The 15,797-nt window shown below is 57.0% G+C and overlaps 1 protein-coding gene across 4 annotated transcripts in view; it reads left to right on the forward strand.

The window, feature by feature from the left end:
* SPNS2 (SPNS lysolipid transporter 2, sphingosine-1-phosphate) overlaps positions 1-15,797 on the forward strand; it is a 40,155-nt gene that overhangs the window by 22,675 nt on the left and 1,683 nt on the right. For 2 of the 4 annotated variants that reach the window (NM_001124758.3, XM_047435339.1), the window contains exons 3-12: positions 3,502-3,638; positions 9,077-9,228; positions 9,498-9,564; positions 10,987-11,129; positions 11,422-11,574; positions 11,688-11,877; positions 12,233-12,298; positions 14,521-14,619; positions 14,708-14,871; positions 15,345-15,391. In NM_001124758.3, coding sequence (NP_001118230.1) covers positions 3,502-3,638; positions 9,077-9,228; positions 9,498-9,564; positions 10,987-11,129; positions 11,422-11,574; positions 11,688-11,877; positions 12,233-12,298; positions 14,521-14,619; positions 14,708-14,871; positions 15,345-15,387 — 1,214 coding nt within the window. In that variant the 3' untranslated portion in view covers positions 15,388-15,391. Of the gene's footprint in view, positions 1-3,501; positions 3,639-7,917; positions 8,328-9,076; positions 9,229-9,497; positions 9,565-10,986; positions 11,130-11,421; positions 11,575-11,687; positions 11,878-12,232; positions 12,299-14,520; positions 14,620-14,707; positions 14,872-15,230; positions 15,392-15,797 lie in introns of those variants that run through there. The other 2 variants (XR_007065260.1, XR_007065261.1) reach the window with 2 other exon arrangements.

A 15,797-nucleotide genomic window follows, 5' to 3' on the forward strand; every position in this document is an offset into this window, starting at 1 on the left:
GCTGGCATGTTGGCGCTGGCTCAGGCCAGCTCATGAGAGTCAATTGTTAACATTTCAGGAATGGTGTGTGAGCTAGTCGTAAAATACAACCATTGTTAAAAACTAAATGATATCGGCTTACAATTAAATAATTAGAAACAAGGTAATAACTACTCAAAAGTCCTCACTTCCTAATTATTTTGCTGTGTTTCAGCGTTATCTGTGGTCCTATGGTGAGTGGCGTCTGTTCTATTTGTGTGGTAGAAACACTGGACAATGGCGTGTCCCCGCACATCCCTTTCCAACGCCCATCAGTGACACGACGTGGGTAGCTTGAACTCAGCCAGGGCGGAGTGTTTACACCACAGAAATGGGCAAACACGGCCGGGCACGGTGGCTCACCCCTGTAATCCCAGCACTTTGGGAGGCCGAGGCAGGAGGATCACCTGAGATCAGGTGTTTGAGACCAGCCTGGCCAACATGGCAAAACCTTGTCTCTACTAAACATTCAAAAATTAGCCGGGCGTGGTGGCAGATGCCTATAATCCCAGCTACTTGGGAGGCCGAGGCAAGAGAATCGCTTGAACCCGGGAGGCAGAGATTGCAGTGAGCTGAGACGGTGCCACTGCACTCCAGCCTGGGCGACAGAGCGAAACTCCATCTCAGAAAAAAAAGAAATGAGCAAACACGCCACATCAGGGCTCCCCTCACCCTTTATCAGAGCCAGTTAAACATATATCAGCACACCACTGAAGGTGAGACACAGAATGGCTGTGGCCTGACTGAGGTCACCGGCTGGGAAGGAGCGGAGGTGAATTTGAGCCCAGGGAGTGTGCCTCATGCCCGGATTTGTGCACCCGCATGCTGATTCTCCCCAAGGCCTCTGGAATTAACAGGTCTGCTCGTACACCCACCACCCACGCGCACTCACTGGCCTGTTCTTGCTGGCATAAAAGAGGGGCAGTCACTCCTCCAGCCAGGTTCAGGGGAGCTCTGCCTGGCCCTCTCGCCTCTCTTTCACCTCTCTCTTTTCCTCCTTCCTCCCTCCCTCTTTCTCTTCTCTCAGGTCCCATCTCGCCAGGGTCTCAGGCCCACGGAGGAGCAGCCGGGACCACGCACACATTCAGCCTGGCGGTCAGAGGCCAACTGGCTGCCATGTCTGTCACTCCCAGCCTTTGTCTGGCCATCTGCCCATCAGCTGTGGGACTGCTTTCCAGGGGGAGGGATGGGGGGCCACCTCGCTGTGTGACCTAGGGTCCACCCTACCTTGCTCTGGGCCTCTTCATCCCACCTGGGACCTCCAAGGCCCCTCCCATCACTGGCAGTGGCCTCCCTGTGGAATCTTCTAAACCTCTTGTTCTGGAAGAACAAAGCCAGGTCACGGCCTTTGTTCGACATCCCCTCATGTTTTCCTTTCTCACCCATGGACGTCACAGTCATCACAGTGGGCTCCGGGGCCCCACCCCAGCCTCTTTCCTGCTCCTCCAACATGCTAAGTAAACTCCTGCCCCAGGGCCTAGGCACTTGCTGTTCTTGCCCCAATAATTGCGTGATTTGTTTCCTTACCTCCTCCAGGTCCTGGCTGAAATACCCACTTTGACCGCTCAATTTAAAATTGTGGTGGCCGGGTGCAGTGGCTCACGCCTGTAATCCCACACTTTGGGAGGCCGCGGCAGGTAGATCACTTGAGGTCAGGAGTTTGAGACCAGGCTGGCCAACATAGAGAAACCCCGTCTCTACTAACAATACAAAAATTAGCTGGGCGTGGTGGCAGGCGCCTGTAATCCCAGCTACTCAAGAGGCTAAGGCAGGAGAATTGCTTGAACCTGGGAGGCGGAGGTTGCAGTGAGCGGAAATCGCACCACTGCACTCCAGCTGCCTGAGCAACGGAGCAAGACACTGTCTCACAAACAAATAAAACACCAGCTAACTATATCAATAAATTTCTCTCAGCCAGGCACGGTGGCTCACGCCTGTAGTCCCAGCACTTTGGGAGGCCGAGGCAGGTGGATCACCTGAGGTCAGGAGTTGGAGACCAGCCTAGCCAACACGGTGAAACCCCGTCTCTACTAAAAATACAAAAATCAGCAGAGCGTGATGGTGTGTGCCTGTAATGCCAGCTACTCGTGAGGCTGAGGCAGAGGTTGCAGTGAGCGGAGATTGCACCATTGCACTCTAGCATGGGTGATAGAGTGAGACTGTTGTCTCAAAAAATATAAAATCGTGGCATCCACTTGCTCTCACACACACCCTTCCAAGCTCCTGTTTCAGCCCCTCCCACCCTCTGTAGCACTTGCCACCATCTGACAAGCTGTGTTATTGATTTGTTTATTTCTTTATTGTCTATTTCTCCTCATTCGAATGAAAGCTTCATAGGATAGGGGTTTTTGTCTCTTTTGTTGATTGATATATCCCAAACACCTAAAACGGTTCCTGGTGCATTGTAGGTACAAAAAAATTGTTGTTGTTGAATGACAAGACGGTAGAATGGACAGATGGATGACAGTGTTTTCAGCCATTAGGAAAGGCCCTGCGGCGCGCTGGGAGTGAGGGCAGCTGTGTGGTCTAGCAGGTGCGAAATCTGGAGTTCCAGGCCCAGTTCTGCCTGATTTGCTGTGTGACCTTGCGTAGATCTCTTCCCCTCTCTGAGCTTCTTTCACAAGTAGAACAAGGGGTGCAGTGTGGTAAAGTATAAGGAACACAGGCTCTGGAGTCAGGCAGCTGGTGTCAGATCCCCACTGGAACATTTACTGCCTGTGGGGTCTTGGCCAAGTCACTCTCCCTCTGAGTCTGTCTCCGCATCTGTGAGGTGGGAGGGGGCTGGAAAGATACGTAATACATGAGATACAAAGATACATGATGAGATATGGCTGGGCGCGGTGGCTCACACGTGTAATCCCAGCACTTTGGGAGGCCAAAGTGGGTGGATCACTTGAGGCCAGGAGTTCAAGACTAGCCTGGCCAACATGGCAAAACCCCATCTCTACTAAAATACAAGAATTAGCCAAGTGTGGTGGCGCATGCCTGTAATGCCAGCTACTCAGGAGGCTGAGGCATAAGAATTGCTTGAACCCAGGAGATGGAGGTTGCAGTGAGCCGAGAGTGTGCCACGGCACTCCAGCCTGGGTGACAGAGCGAGACCCTGTCTCAAAACAATAAAAATAAAATTTTAAAAAGATATGTGAGATATGACATGGTGAGCCCCTAGCATAGTGTGTGGCATGTAGAAAGTGTTCAATAAATAGATCTTGACTCTTTTAAAAAGTACCCAAAGGGCTCACCCAAACCTGGACAAACTGGGCGAACTGGACATACATGGGAGAGGATGGCGTCATGGACCTGCCTGACCTCGTAAGGCCTTTCCCACCTTCCTGGGGTGCAGGTCGGGCCGAGGTTTCCTCTCTGGGCTGCTTCCTTGGTCCCTTTGCTCCACAGACTCTTGGCCCCAAGCCGGAGTGAAATGGGCCGGGAGGCCGGGGCGCAGGGACCTGGGCCCCCCCTCAAGCTCTCCTCTCCCTGCAGTGTTCATCTGTAGCTTCATGGTGGCTGCCCCCATCTTCGGCTACCTGGGCGACCGCTTCAACAGGAAGGTGATTCTCAGCTGCGGCATTTTCTTCTGGTCGGCCGTCACCTTCTCCAGCTCCTTCATTCCCCAGCAGGTGAGGCCCGGCTCGGCTTCTCCCCGACCCCTGTGTCCTGGTCCCTCCAGCGAGTGGCTAGTCTTATTGGCCTGTTGAAGAATCCAGCCCAGGGCTTCCAGCTCCTTTGCTTGAACCCCACTGTCTTCCCAGTGCAGAAGGACAGGTGGTCTTCGGGTATTTTTATAAACCAGCCCTGCGGCTGGGGCCTTCCCCACGCTGGCCTGACCTGAGAGCCTTCCAGCCCATGTGGCCTCCTGACTCTTTCTGAGCATCCCTCTGATTTGGGATGGATGCAAAGAACAAGTCTGGCCTAGGAGTGAGGGCCTTGAGTCCTAGCCCTGGCTCTGCCATTATCTGGCTGTGTGACCCTGGGGGAGTCACTACCCCTCTCTGGTTCTTGCTCAGTTTGTGCTTGGTCTGATGACCAGCTGACTTCTTAGATCGACATCCCAGAGAAGCAAATATCAATTCAACACAAACAAGAGTCTTCTCATTTAGCTCCCACAGGCCTGGGCTTGAATATCCCAACTTTGTTTCCTACTCAGCTTTGTGACCTGGAGGAACTTAATGTCTCTGAGCCTCAGTTTCCTCATCTTTAAAATGGGGATAATACTTCCCAACTCGAAGGTTTCCCTTGAGAAGTAGCTGAGCTGTGAAGGTCCAGACCCTGGAACACGGCGAGTGCTCAGCCAGTCATTGTTTCTGTTCCTCCTTCCAAAGATGAGACTGTTGCCTTGTGAGGTAGTGAGTTCCCCATCTCGAGGCGTATTCAAGCAGAGAGTGGCAATCACATGCCGGCTGCTATAGAGAAAGATGAAGGAAGAAGGGGAGAGCATGATCTGTCTTCAAGGAGCTTTCAGGATAGCCCTGTCCTTGGGAGCACCCAGGCTTCGGGGTAGGAAGATTTGACAGGAACTCCTGTGTTCAGAGCCTTCAAGAGGTGTAGAAAAAGTGCTGAGAGTCCTCACTAAAGAGACAACAGTCTCTTGAAATCCGTGGGGTCAGGGAGGGCTTCCTGGAGGAGGTGGCGTTTGCGCTGGGCAGGCAGGACTGTGAGATCAGGCCTTTTGGTGAAGGTAGCATGGGCAGAGGGAGCCAACCCACTGATGCAGAAATGGTGGAGTGTGTTGAAAGATTGAGGATTGGGCCAGGTGTGATGGTTCATGCCTGTAATCCCAGCACTTTGGAAGGCCAAGGCGGGTGGATCCCCTGAGGTCAGGAGTTCGAGACCAGCCTGGCCAACATGGAGAAACCCCATCTCTACTAAAAATACAAAAATTAGCCAGGCATGGTGGTGCATGCCTATAATCCCAGCTACTTGGGAGGCTGAGGCAGGAGAATCGCTTGAACCTCGAAGGCAGAGGTTGCAGTGAGCAGAGATCGCACCACTGCACTCCAGCCTGGGTGACAAGAGCAAAACTCCATCTCAAAAAAAAAAAAAGAAAAAGAAAGAAAGATTGAGGATTGCATTTTCACTGGAAAGAAAGCAGGGACTGGGTCATGGAGAACCTTGAATGCCAGGCTAGAGGGCCTGGGCTTCCTTCTGTGGCAGTGCTGAGCTCTGGAAAAGTTTGAAGAACAATGGCGGGGTCAGATTTGGGTTGATGGTGGGGACATTGGAGGGAGGGCAGAGAGAATCAGCAGGTTTGCCAAGGACATCCTTGCTTCATGGGGCAGCTTCGCAGAGGAGGGTCAGGTCAGGTAAAGCTCCAGGCCCAGGATGGCAAGCAGAGCCTGGTGGCCACAGTCAAAAATAAGGACTGGACCAGAGGCCTCTAGGGCCCCTCAGGACCTTGTCTTGCCCCTGGCCAGGCCCCTGGTCACCAACCTCTGAGGCTGCTCCTGGGACTGACCAGTAAGTCTAGGACCACCATGCCAGGTCCGGGTCCATCTCTGGGTGTGTGGAAGGAGACAGAAGATAAGCAAAGGCAGAGAGAGAAACAGGTCACCTCCAGTGAATCCATAAATGCACTGAAATCACAATTTGCATCCCATAGGGGTTTCTGGTAGACTTTGGCAATGTGATTCTGAAGTTAATTTGGCAGAGAAAATGCCCAGGAACAGCCAAGAACATTGTGAAAAAATAACAGTGAAAGGGGATTTGCCTCTCAGTTATCAAAATACAGTGATTGTAACTAAAACAGCAGAGGGATGGACTAAGATCAATGAGCCAGAGTCCTCATTTCTGTGGGGATTTAGTGTAGGATGAAAGTTGCATCTCAAATGAGTGGTTTGGGAAGAACTATCTATCCATCTGGATTGAAAGAAAAGTTTGGCCTGTGTTTCAAACCATCTTGCAGAATAAAGTCCCGATAGGGGAAAGTAAAGCAAAAAGCAAGCTCTTAAAATCTAGAACTATAAATCAACAAGAAAAAGACAAATAACTCAGTAGAAAAATGGGCACGGGATAGCTACAGACAGTTTCAGGAGAAGACACCCAAACGGCCAATACGTGTAGGAAGAGACAGGGCTCAGCTTCTCTAGTAACCAGGGAAATGCAAATTAGAACAACAATGAGATCCCATTTCACACCCGTCAGATTGGCAACAATTAAAAAGGCTGACAATACCAAGTGTGATCAAAGCTGTGGGGAATCGGGGACTCCAGCCCTGCTGGTGGGAGTGTAAATTGGTAGAGGCTCTTTGGAGAGCGAAACGGCAGGATATTGTAAAACTCTGTTTATCTCCCGTGGCCCAGCCTTCTACTTGGGGTATACACCCAAGAGAGAAACTCCAGCTTGTAGACACATGCATGTAAGAAGCACTGGAATAGCCAAAAAAAAAAAAAAAGGAAGCAATCTAAATGACCATCACTGGGTGTGCACAGATTAATGGTGTGTATGTATGACTCTTTTCTTTTTTTTTTAGACGGAGTTTCGCTCTTGCTGCCCAGGCTGGAGTGCAATGGCACAATCTGGGTTCACTGCAACCTCCGCCTCCCGGGTTCAAGCGATTCTCCTGCCTCAGCCTCCCAAGTAGCTGGGATTACAGGCACGCGCCACCACACCCAGCTAATTTTTGTATTTTTAATAGAGATGGGGTTTCACCATGTTGACAAGGCTAGTCTGGAACTCCTGACCTCAGGTGATCCTACCGCCTCAGCCTCCTAAAGTGCTGGAATTATAGGTGTGAGCCACTGTGCCGGGCCCTGTGAGACTCAACAGGAAAAGAATGAACTAGATCTTAATTAACCAGCATAAATGGGTTTCAAAAAGATAAGAATGAGGGAGCAAAAGCAAGTTACAGGATAAGATGCGTGGAGGGTTTCCTTTCATGTCCATTTTATTTTTAAATATTGTTTATTTTGAGACAGAGTTTCGCTCTTTCACCCAGGCTGGAGTGCAGTGGCACAATCTCGGCTCACTGCAACCTCTGCCACCCCCTCCTCCACCACCAGGTTCAAGCGATTCTCCTGCCTCAGCCTCCCGCGTAGCTGCGATTATAGGCGACTGCCACCATGCCCAGCTAATTTTTGTATTTTTAGTAGAGAAGGGTTTTCACCGTGTTGGCCAGGCTGGTCTCGAACTCCTGACCTCAGGTGATCCACTTGCCTTGACTTCCCAAAGTGCTGGGATTACAGATGTGAGCCCACCATGCCCAGCCTTAAATGTGTTTTTGAGACAGGGTCTCGCTCTGTCACCTAGGCTGATATGCAGTGGTGTGATCACAGCTCACTGCAGGCTTGACTTCCTGGGCTCAACTGATCCTCCTGTCTCAGTCTCCTAAGTAGCTAGGATGCATCATGATCCCGCTAATTTTTATCTTTTCTTTTTTTTTTTTGAAATGGAGTCTTGCTCTGTCACCCAGGCTGGAGTGCAGTGGCGCAATCTTGGCTCACTGCAACCTCCACCTCCCGAGTTCAAGCAACTCTCTGCCTCAGCCTCTCCAGTAGCTGGGATCACAGGCACCCGCCAACACACCCGGCTAATTTTTGTATTTTTAGTAGAGATGGGGCTTCACCATCTTGGCCAGGCTGGTCTTGAACTCCTGGCCTTGTGATCCACCCGACTCAGCCTCCCAAAGTGCTGGGATTACAGGCGTGAGCCACTGCGCCTGGCCCGATTTTTATCTTATTTTTAAATTTTTTTAGAGACGAGGTCTCACTATGTTACCCAGGCTGGTCTCGAACTCCTGGCCTCAAGCAATCCTCCTGCCTCAGCCTCCTAAAGTGCTGGGATTATAGGCACGAGCCCCCATGCCCAGCCTCATGTTTGTTCTTTAAAAGCACACAGGGGGCCGGATGTGGTGGCCCACGCCTGTAATCCCAGCACTTTGGGAGGCTGAGGCAGGCAGATCAAGAGCAGCCTGGCCAACATGGCAAAACCCCGTCTCTACAAAAATTCAAAAATTAGCTGGGTGTGGTGTCGGGTGCCTATAATCCCACCTCCTCAGGAGGCTGAGGCAGGAGAATCGCTTGAACCCGGGGGGCAGAGGTTGCAGTGAGTGAGATCGCGCCACTGCACTCCAGCCTGAGTGACAGAGGAAGACTCCATCTGAAAAAAGAAGAAAAAAAAAGAAATCAATGCAAAAGAGACAAATGACCCACCAGAAAAACAGGCCAAGGCTGTAGGCAGGTGATTCCCAGGAAGAGAAACAGAGGCGAGGAGCTAAGGGCAAATGGGGAGATGGAAAAAGAGAGACAAGCATGAAGGGGTCAGAGATGGGCCAACCCAGGCAGCACCTGCAGGCACAGCAAGCCAGGAGCGAGGTGAGCAGATGGAGGGAAGTCAGGGAGACCCGGGGGAGGGCTGGACGCGGGCGATGCTGGCCAGATGGGTGGCCAGGGTGGGGCTGGGGAAAGATGACCAGGCTGGGTTCTCAGGCCCCGGGCAGCTGGGGGACGGAGGGAGCAGGTCCACATCAAAGGGGTCATGCTACCAGCAGCTGGCAGGGCCCCACCCTTCCCCACTCAGCTGGGCTTTGCCCTTTGGTGTGTGCAGGGGGAGGGGCTCTGGGTCCCCTGGGCTTCCCTGCCAACGCCCCACTCCCCACTCCCCACTTCACACTGGGCCCTCAGTGCTGCCAGGGTTGGCCTAGCCACCCGGCTTGGGAGAGACACACAGAGTGGAGGGTGGTGGCTTGAGGCTCCCGAAGTGAAGTCAGAACCAGGGAGGGGTCTCCCAGTTGGTGGAGTAGTGGAGACATAGGCTTGTGTCCCCAGTGCCTATGAGGACAGAGGGGGCCTACCTGGGCCATACCACTCTCAAGCTGGGATAGTCCCGTCCCATACCAGCACTGGGCCGGCCAGGCCCCGTCAGACCCACTATACAGAGGGGCAAACTGAGGCCCGGAGTGGCTGGGGGAGGTGGTCTTTACGGAGGTGCAGCCCACCAGCACCCTCACCCTTCTCTCCCCTGGCTCCTGGGCCCTGCAGGGGGAGGGAGCAAAGTGGGAACAAGGGATGACAGGCAGACGGTGGGTAGTCGGTCCCCCAGCATCCTCCACCCCTCCTCACAGTACTTCTGGCTGCTGGTCCTGTCCCGGGGGCTGGTGGGCATCGGGGAGGCCAGCTACTCCACCATCGCCCCCACTATCATTGGCGACCTCTTCACCAAGAACACGCGTACGCTCATGCTGTCCGTCTTCTACTTCGCCATCCCACTGGGCAGGTGAGAGCCGGAGATGCCAGGGTCTGGGTGAGGATCTGGGCAAGGTTCCCTTGGACTTCTGAGTTCTCCCACTCCCTGGGGTTCTAGCCCAGGCAGGCGTCCTCAGAGAGCTAAACATGTGGGCGGTCAGCCTTTGAGAATCTCCTGGACCTGCTCCCTGGCCAGCTGGCTGGGTGGGGAGGGTGGGCAGCCTGCCTTGCAGACCAGCGGGCACTCCCTGTCCCCAGCCCCTGTCTCTGCTCAGCCTGACGTGTGTCTCTTCTCTGCAGTGGCCTGGGCTACATTACTGGCTCCAGCGTGAAGCAGGCAGCCGGAGACTGGCACTGGGCATTGCGGGTAAGCCCTACGTCCCTTCCCATGAGGACACCCTCCGGTCCAGACCTCGCCCCAGGGTTGCCCAGAGATGTAATCCAGGCTAGGACCTAGGCCTCCAGGATTCCTCCCCTGGCTGCGTGGACTCTGAAATCCCTGCCCTTCCAGATTAGTCCAGATTGAGGTATCAGAGCGCTCAGATGTCCCGATTGAGGTGTCAGAGCCAGACACAGCCCCGCCGCCCTCGGGGCCCCCAGGCTGAGGGTTGGAATCTCCCACCCGGGAGTCCCAGGTTGAGAGAACCAAGGATTCTCCCACCACGTCAGGAAATTCCAGGTCCATGGCGGTGCTTCCTGCCTCCAGCCCTGGCGCTGTGCTAGGGTAAGGCTGGGACAAGACCTCTGTGTGGGGGCCCCAGAGTCTGGAGCCACTTCCGGTCTCGCTGGGTTTGGGGCAAGTTACCAAGGCCCCAGGACAGCGCAATCGGAGGAAACAGAGATCCCTCGTCTCTCGGAGGAGCGGAAGCTTAAGACAAAGTGTTTTTTCCTAAAAGCAGGAAGGAAGCGGCCTCCGTGGAATTTCTTAGTGGGGTGGGGGGATGGGGAGGCGAGAGGGAGGTGGCAGGCAGAGGAACTCCCCAACCCAGGGGCTCCCAGTCCCGGGGGCATGGGGGAGAGTGTTCTGCGGGGCTGGTGAGATGGAATCCAGGCTGCCAGGGTGTTACCCTCCCACCCGGAGAGAAGCCTGGGGCCTTGGAGGTTCTGTTCTGGAAAATGGGCTGGAAACGGGGAAGATCCAAAAGGGCTCGGGAGCCTCTGTGGGGCCTGCATCGGGCCCCCACCAAATGCCAGCCCACTTGATCTGTCAGTCCAGCGCTTCATACCCAAACAGCACCTTCCCAGGGCCCTGCGGCTGAGGAACCTACGTGGGGAACCTGCTCCAGGAATTTTCTCCTCCCTCAAAGTCATCATCCCATCTGGCTATCTACTTATTTTCCATCCGTCTGTCCATCCATCCACCATCCGTCCGTCTATCTATCCGTTCATCCATCTGTCCATCCGTCTGTCCATCTGTCCATCTATCCGTCCATCCCTCCATCTATCTCTGTCCATCTCTCCATCAACCTCTTTAGCCATCTCTTCTCTATCTATCCACCCACTGCTCCACTCACCCACCCCTCCTTCTTCCTTCAGTCTGTCTGGCTTCCCTGCACCTTCCCACCTCTGGTCCTGCCCCTGGTCTGGACAGGCCATCTCAAGCCTCCAGTCTCTTGACCGACCTCAGCCCCAGCTTTTCTCAGCAGCCCAATTAGGAAGGCTGGGCAGATACCTGCTCAGAGGAGAAGCCTATGGCCCAGAGAAGGCATGGGCTTGCCTGAGTCCCTCCTTCTGCAGCAGGGACGAGGCTCACTGGGCCCTGGTGTCCTAACTTCCTGCTCTCTGGCAGGTGTCCCCTGTCCTGGGCATGATCACAGGAACACTCATCCTCATTCTGGTCCCAGCCACTAAAAGGGGTCATGCCGACCAGCTCGGGGACCAGCTCAAGGCCCGGACCTCATGGCTCCGAGATATGAAGGCCCTGATTCGAAAGTGAGTACCGCGGGAAGGGGTCTGGTGGGAAGAGAGAGGGGTGCTGAGATGAGAGGGCCTGTCCCTGCAGGGCAGCCCACTAGCACCCTCAGCCAGACACCCCACCTCTGCTGTCTCAGTGCTGGGAGGGACATTTTGGCCCCAGAATCGATTATTCCTGCAGCCTGAACCCTCACCCCTGGAGCCTGTAAGACGAGGCATTTGGGGGCCTCCTGTTCCCCCAGTGCATGGGGCTGCCTAGGGGGGTGAAGGAGGTCCCTGAGCTCAGTGTCACTGCCTGGCCTCTCCCCAGCCGCAGCTACGTCTTCTCCTCCCTGGCCACGTCGGCTGTCTCCTTCGCCACGGGGGCCCTGGGCATGTGGATCCCGCTCTACCTGCACCGCGCCCAAGTTGTGCAGAAGACAGCAGAGACGTGCAACAGCCCGCCCTGTGGGGCCAAGGACAGGTGGGGCCCCGCGGGGTGGGCCCAGGGCTGGTGAGGGACCTCGGACAGGAGAGCCCCTCAGCCTTAGCCCTGAGCCGCCTCAACTCGTGCGCCACCATCCTCTGTCCCCACAGCCTCATCTTTGGGGCCATCACCTGCTTTACGGGATTTCTGGGCGTGGTCACGGGGGCAGGAGCCACGCGCTGGTGCCGCCTGAAGACCCAGCGGGCCGACCCACTGGTGTGTGCCGTGGGCATGCTGGGCTCTGCCATCTTCATCTGCCTGATCTTCGTGGCTGCCAAGAGCAGCATCGTAGGAGCCTATGTGAGTGCAGCGGGGGTCAAGGGTGCTGGGGGAGCTGGGCCTGGGCCGCGGGAGGGTCTGGAACAGGACATTCGGTCTGACTTACTGGATGTTCCCTTCCCTCGGGGAGGCTCCTATTCTCTGGCTGCCCCTGCTCATCCCCAGCCTGGCCACACACAGCCTGTCCAGGGCCTCTGGGTGCCTCAGGGCCGTGGGCATGGCTTGAAGTCTCTGGATAGCCCATGAATGGATGTGGGCCCGGGAGGGGTGTGAGGTTTTGTGGGCTCCCTGCCAGCAGCCAGTGTGTAGGGAACAGAGACTGTGGTTGCTGCGGATGGAGGGACCGCTGATGGTGGCTTTGCCTTCTCCCCGGCAGATCTGTATCTTCGTCGGGGAGACGCTGCTGTTTTCTAACTGGGCCATCACTGCAGACATCCTCATGGTGAGCCAGGCAGGCCGAGGTCACCTTGTGCTGCTGACCCAGGCCTCTTGACCTCACAGGGGTGCCTGGGGAGGGCGGGTGAAGGGGCGGGAGAGCTGGTAGGAAGGCAGGCCTGCCAGGAACGTGAACCCAGAGGCAGGGAGGGGATCAGAGAGTTTGGGGTCTGCCTCTGGCCAGGGCTGGAAAACAGGGTTGGGCAGGCAGACAGAGCACCATGTGGAGACTGAGGGGGAGGGGGCATCTCGAGGCTCAGGTTAGTGGCTGGGAGGCTGGCGGTGCCAGGCTGGCACTGAGGTGGCGCTGCCTGCCCGCCCTCCTCCCCCCGCTGGGTCTGAGCATCCATAGGCTCTGCCCTCTCTACTCAGCCTGGCTCCCAGGCGTGCCTGCGGCTGGGGCTGGGCGGACAGAGGCTGTCTTCACAGGGCCAACAATGGGCTCTAGCCCAGCCAGCTGGGGACAAAGGGCTGTCTTGAGCGGCCAGCAGGGGCTTGTGTCCCTGGGTGGGGATGGGAGCACCCTGGGAGGAGCCAGGAGTGGAGCTAGGAGTTCATGGCCCTCTGGGCGTGGCAGGGGTGAGTGTGACACTTGGTCCTGTGCCCAAGGGTCAGCCTGGCCAGGGTCAGGAGGGGACAGGAGAGAGTGTCTGGGAGGTGTCAGGGCAGGCTCTGGGGCAGAGAGGAAGGACTCGGGTGGATTCTCAGGGTGCCCGGGTTTGGGTGCCCCAGCATGGGACAGCCCGGGAGATGAGTGTGCCAGGCACTGCGGCCCCTGCACTTCGGGAAGCCTGCCTTACCCCACCCTGAGCCTCCGGGCGTATCCGCTTCCCCCTGGGGTGGCTCTGTGTCCTCCCGAGTCCATGGGCTGCGGTGGTGGTGGGGAGGCCTGGCGCAGTTCAGAGCCTCAGCACGGAGCCAGGCGGTGGCAGGGGTGCGCCAGGGTCACTGCACAGGCCCAGAGTGAAGGGAGGAGTCCGTGCAGATTAAGTGCTCTTGGTGCTGGGCAGGACCCCCTCTCCTGCCTCCACCCCCAGGGAGCGCCTGACAGCTGCCGGCAGGGTCAGGGTCCCGGGGAAATCGCGTCCCGGTTTATTAAGTGTAACAGTTTATTCCTGCTGGAAACAGGGCCACTCGTTTCATCAGATTCAGGCCCTTTTCCACCCGCCCCCCACCTCTCCCGCAACGGGGTGCCCCGTGGGTGCTGGTTGCTTGCACACAATGCCCACTAAGGCTGGCACTCCAAAGAGGCGAGGCAGCTGGAGCTCGGGGAACAGGGGCTGCCTGGGCACCCACAGAGCTGGCTGTGCCTGTCCCGCCCCCACCCCAGCCCCTCCTGTCTGACTCTGGCCTGCCCAGCTTTGAAGCCAACCTCCTGTAGGTTGGGGCCTGCTTGGTCTGATGGGGGTCTGGGGCCCAGCAGTGCCGGCATTTGGTGCTGAGGGTGCCCGCGGGTGCGAGCGGAGGCTCTTGCAGGCAGGGGCCTGCCTCACCAGCTCCTGTCCCAGGCCAGTCGAGGCCTGGCTTGGTCCTCAGGGAGGGGAACCAAGATGGGTCTTTAGCTTGATGGGAGGTGAGGACAAATGGCTGTGGCGGGGGTTCAGGTTCCCTCGGGAACATGTGCCTCTCTAGACCTCAGTGTCCCCGTGACCCAGGTCCAAGGGCAGAAGCCAAGGCACCCTGGTCTCAGGAATGGAGCAGGAGCCGCGCTGGAGAGGCAGCAGCATGGCCGTTCCTGATGGCTCGGGTACTCCGAGGCTCGGAGGGCTCTGGGCTAATGGCCTCTAGTGACTGGCGCCTGGGCAACCCCCAAAGTATCATTCCTTAACTGCATGTAGCTGGGAGGGAGGTGAAGATTCCAATTTCAGAGGGGTGTGCTGGGGGCACAGCAGGTTTGAGGCCAATGACGCTTTCAGTATGGGGCAGGTCGCAGTGGTCTGGGTTGGAGGTGTGGAAGCCCCTGGGGTGAGGGTGACTGCAGCTGTGTGTGGGTGGGAGGGGCTCAGGGAGGAGAAGGGTGACTGGCAGGAGAGAAGCAGCCAGGCTGGTGGGGTGGGCAGTAGAGGGGACTGTGGGGAGGAGGGCAGGGCCCAGGGGAGAGAGGTGTCAAGACGTAGGGCAGGAGTGAGTCTGAGGGTGTGGGGGCTTCAGAAGTGCCACGGCCCGGGGCCAGGGCCAAGCGCGTGAGCCTTTCTCCTCTGGCCGCTGACCTGCCCGCCTGTTCCGCAGTACGTGGTCATCCCCACGCGGCGCGCCACTGCCGTGGCCTTGCAGAGCTTCACCTCCCACCTGCTGGGGGACGCCGGGAGCCCCTACCTCATTGGCTTTGTGAGTAGCCCCGGGGTGGGGCTGGCCAGGGCAGGCTGGGGGACTGCAGGAGGGCTCTGCCCTGACATCCACCCCCAAATCCTCGCAGATCTCAGACCTGATCCGCCAGAGCACTAAGGACTCCCCGCTCTGGGAGTTCCTGAGCCTGGGCTACGCGCTCATGCTCTGCCCTTTCGTCGTGGTCCTGGGCGGCATGTTCTTCCTCGCCACTGCGCTCTTCTTCGTCAGCGACCGCGCCAGGGCTGAGCAGCAGTGAGTGGGGGGGAGGGGAGGCCCTGCTGCACCGCCGGGAAGCAGGGACCGTGATAGCCACCGTGAGCCCTGCCCTGGGGTGGGGCGGGGAGGGTACAGACCTCCCATGCACTCAGTGCACCCACTGGTTGCTGGGGTCCAGCCCTGAGGCCCAGTGCCAGGGTCAGCCTGGAGCTGTGGGAGGCCACGGGGGTGTCTGGTGGATCCAGACTTGGGTTTGTCTCTGGACTTAGTGGTTTTCAAAGCTGGGGCCCCTCCCCTTCCTCTTACTTTCTGACTTCTTTCTCCTTTCCTCTTTACTCCTCTCTCTCTCCTCTCCCCACCCCTGGGCTCTCCCATCTCCCCCTGGGGCTGACGAGGTCCCTGCCCAGCACCTCCGGTCAGCTGGCCCCCACGACACGATGTGCCAGAGCAGTGCCCGGGCCCGGCCCCCGCTGATGCACCACCCTGACCCCCGCCCGTCTCTCCCCCAGGGTGAACCAGCTGGCGATGCCGCCCGCATCTGTGAAAGTCTGAGGTGGTGAGTGCAGGCCGGGAGGCACGTGGGGGCTCCCTAAGGAAAGGGGAAGGCCAGGGTTAGGCAACAGGGAGCACTTTTCCTCCAGAGTCACCTCCTACCCCAGCACATCCCACCAACTCTGGGCTTTGTCTCTGAAGATGTTGCCAGAATTTACTGATGGAGCCATGGGTGGGACAGCAGGCTGCTCCTTCCAGTAAATTAGCTCCCCTTTCCTTCCTTTCAAGGGCTGGGTGGGGCCTCGCATAGATCAGGGCCAGGACTGGCCAGGAACTCCTCACTCTGTCCGGACTTCTGTTCTCCCAAATCCTCCTGGATGTACCAGGGCCTGACTCCTTGGCCCTTCCCTCTGGGAGTTATAGCTTCCCAGCAGCACGAGACCCAGGGTCACAGCTGCAGGTCCAGGAGA

This window comes from Homo sapiens, chromosome 17 (assembly GCF_000001405.40).
Source record: "Homo sapiens chromosome 17, GRCh38.p14 Primary Assembly".
Taxonomy (NCBI): Eukaryota; Metazoa; Chordata; class Mammalia; order Primates; family Hominidae; genus Homo; species Homo sapiens.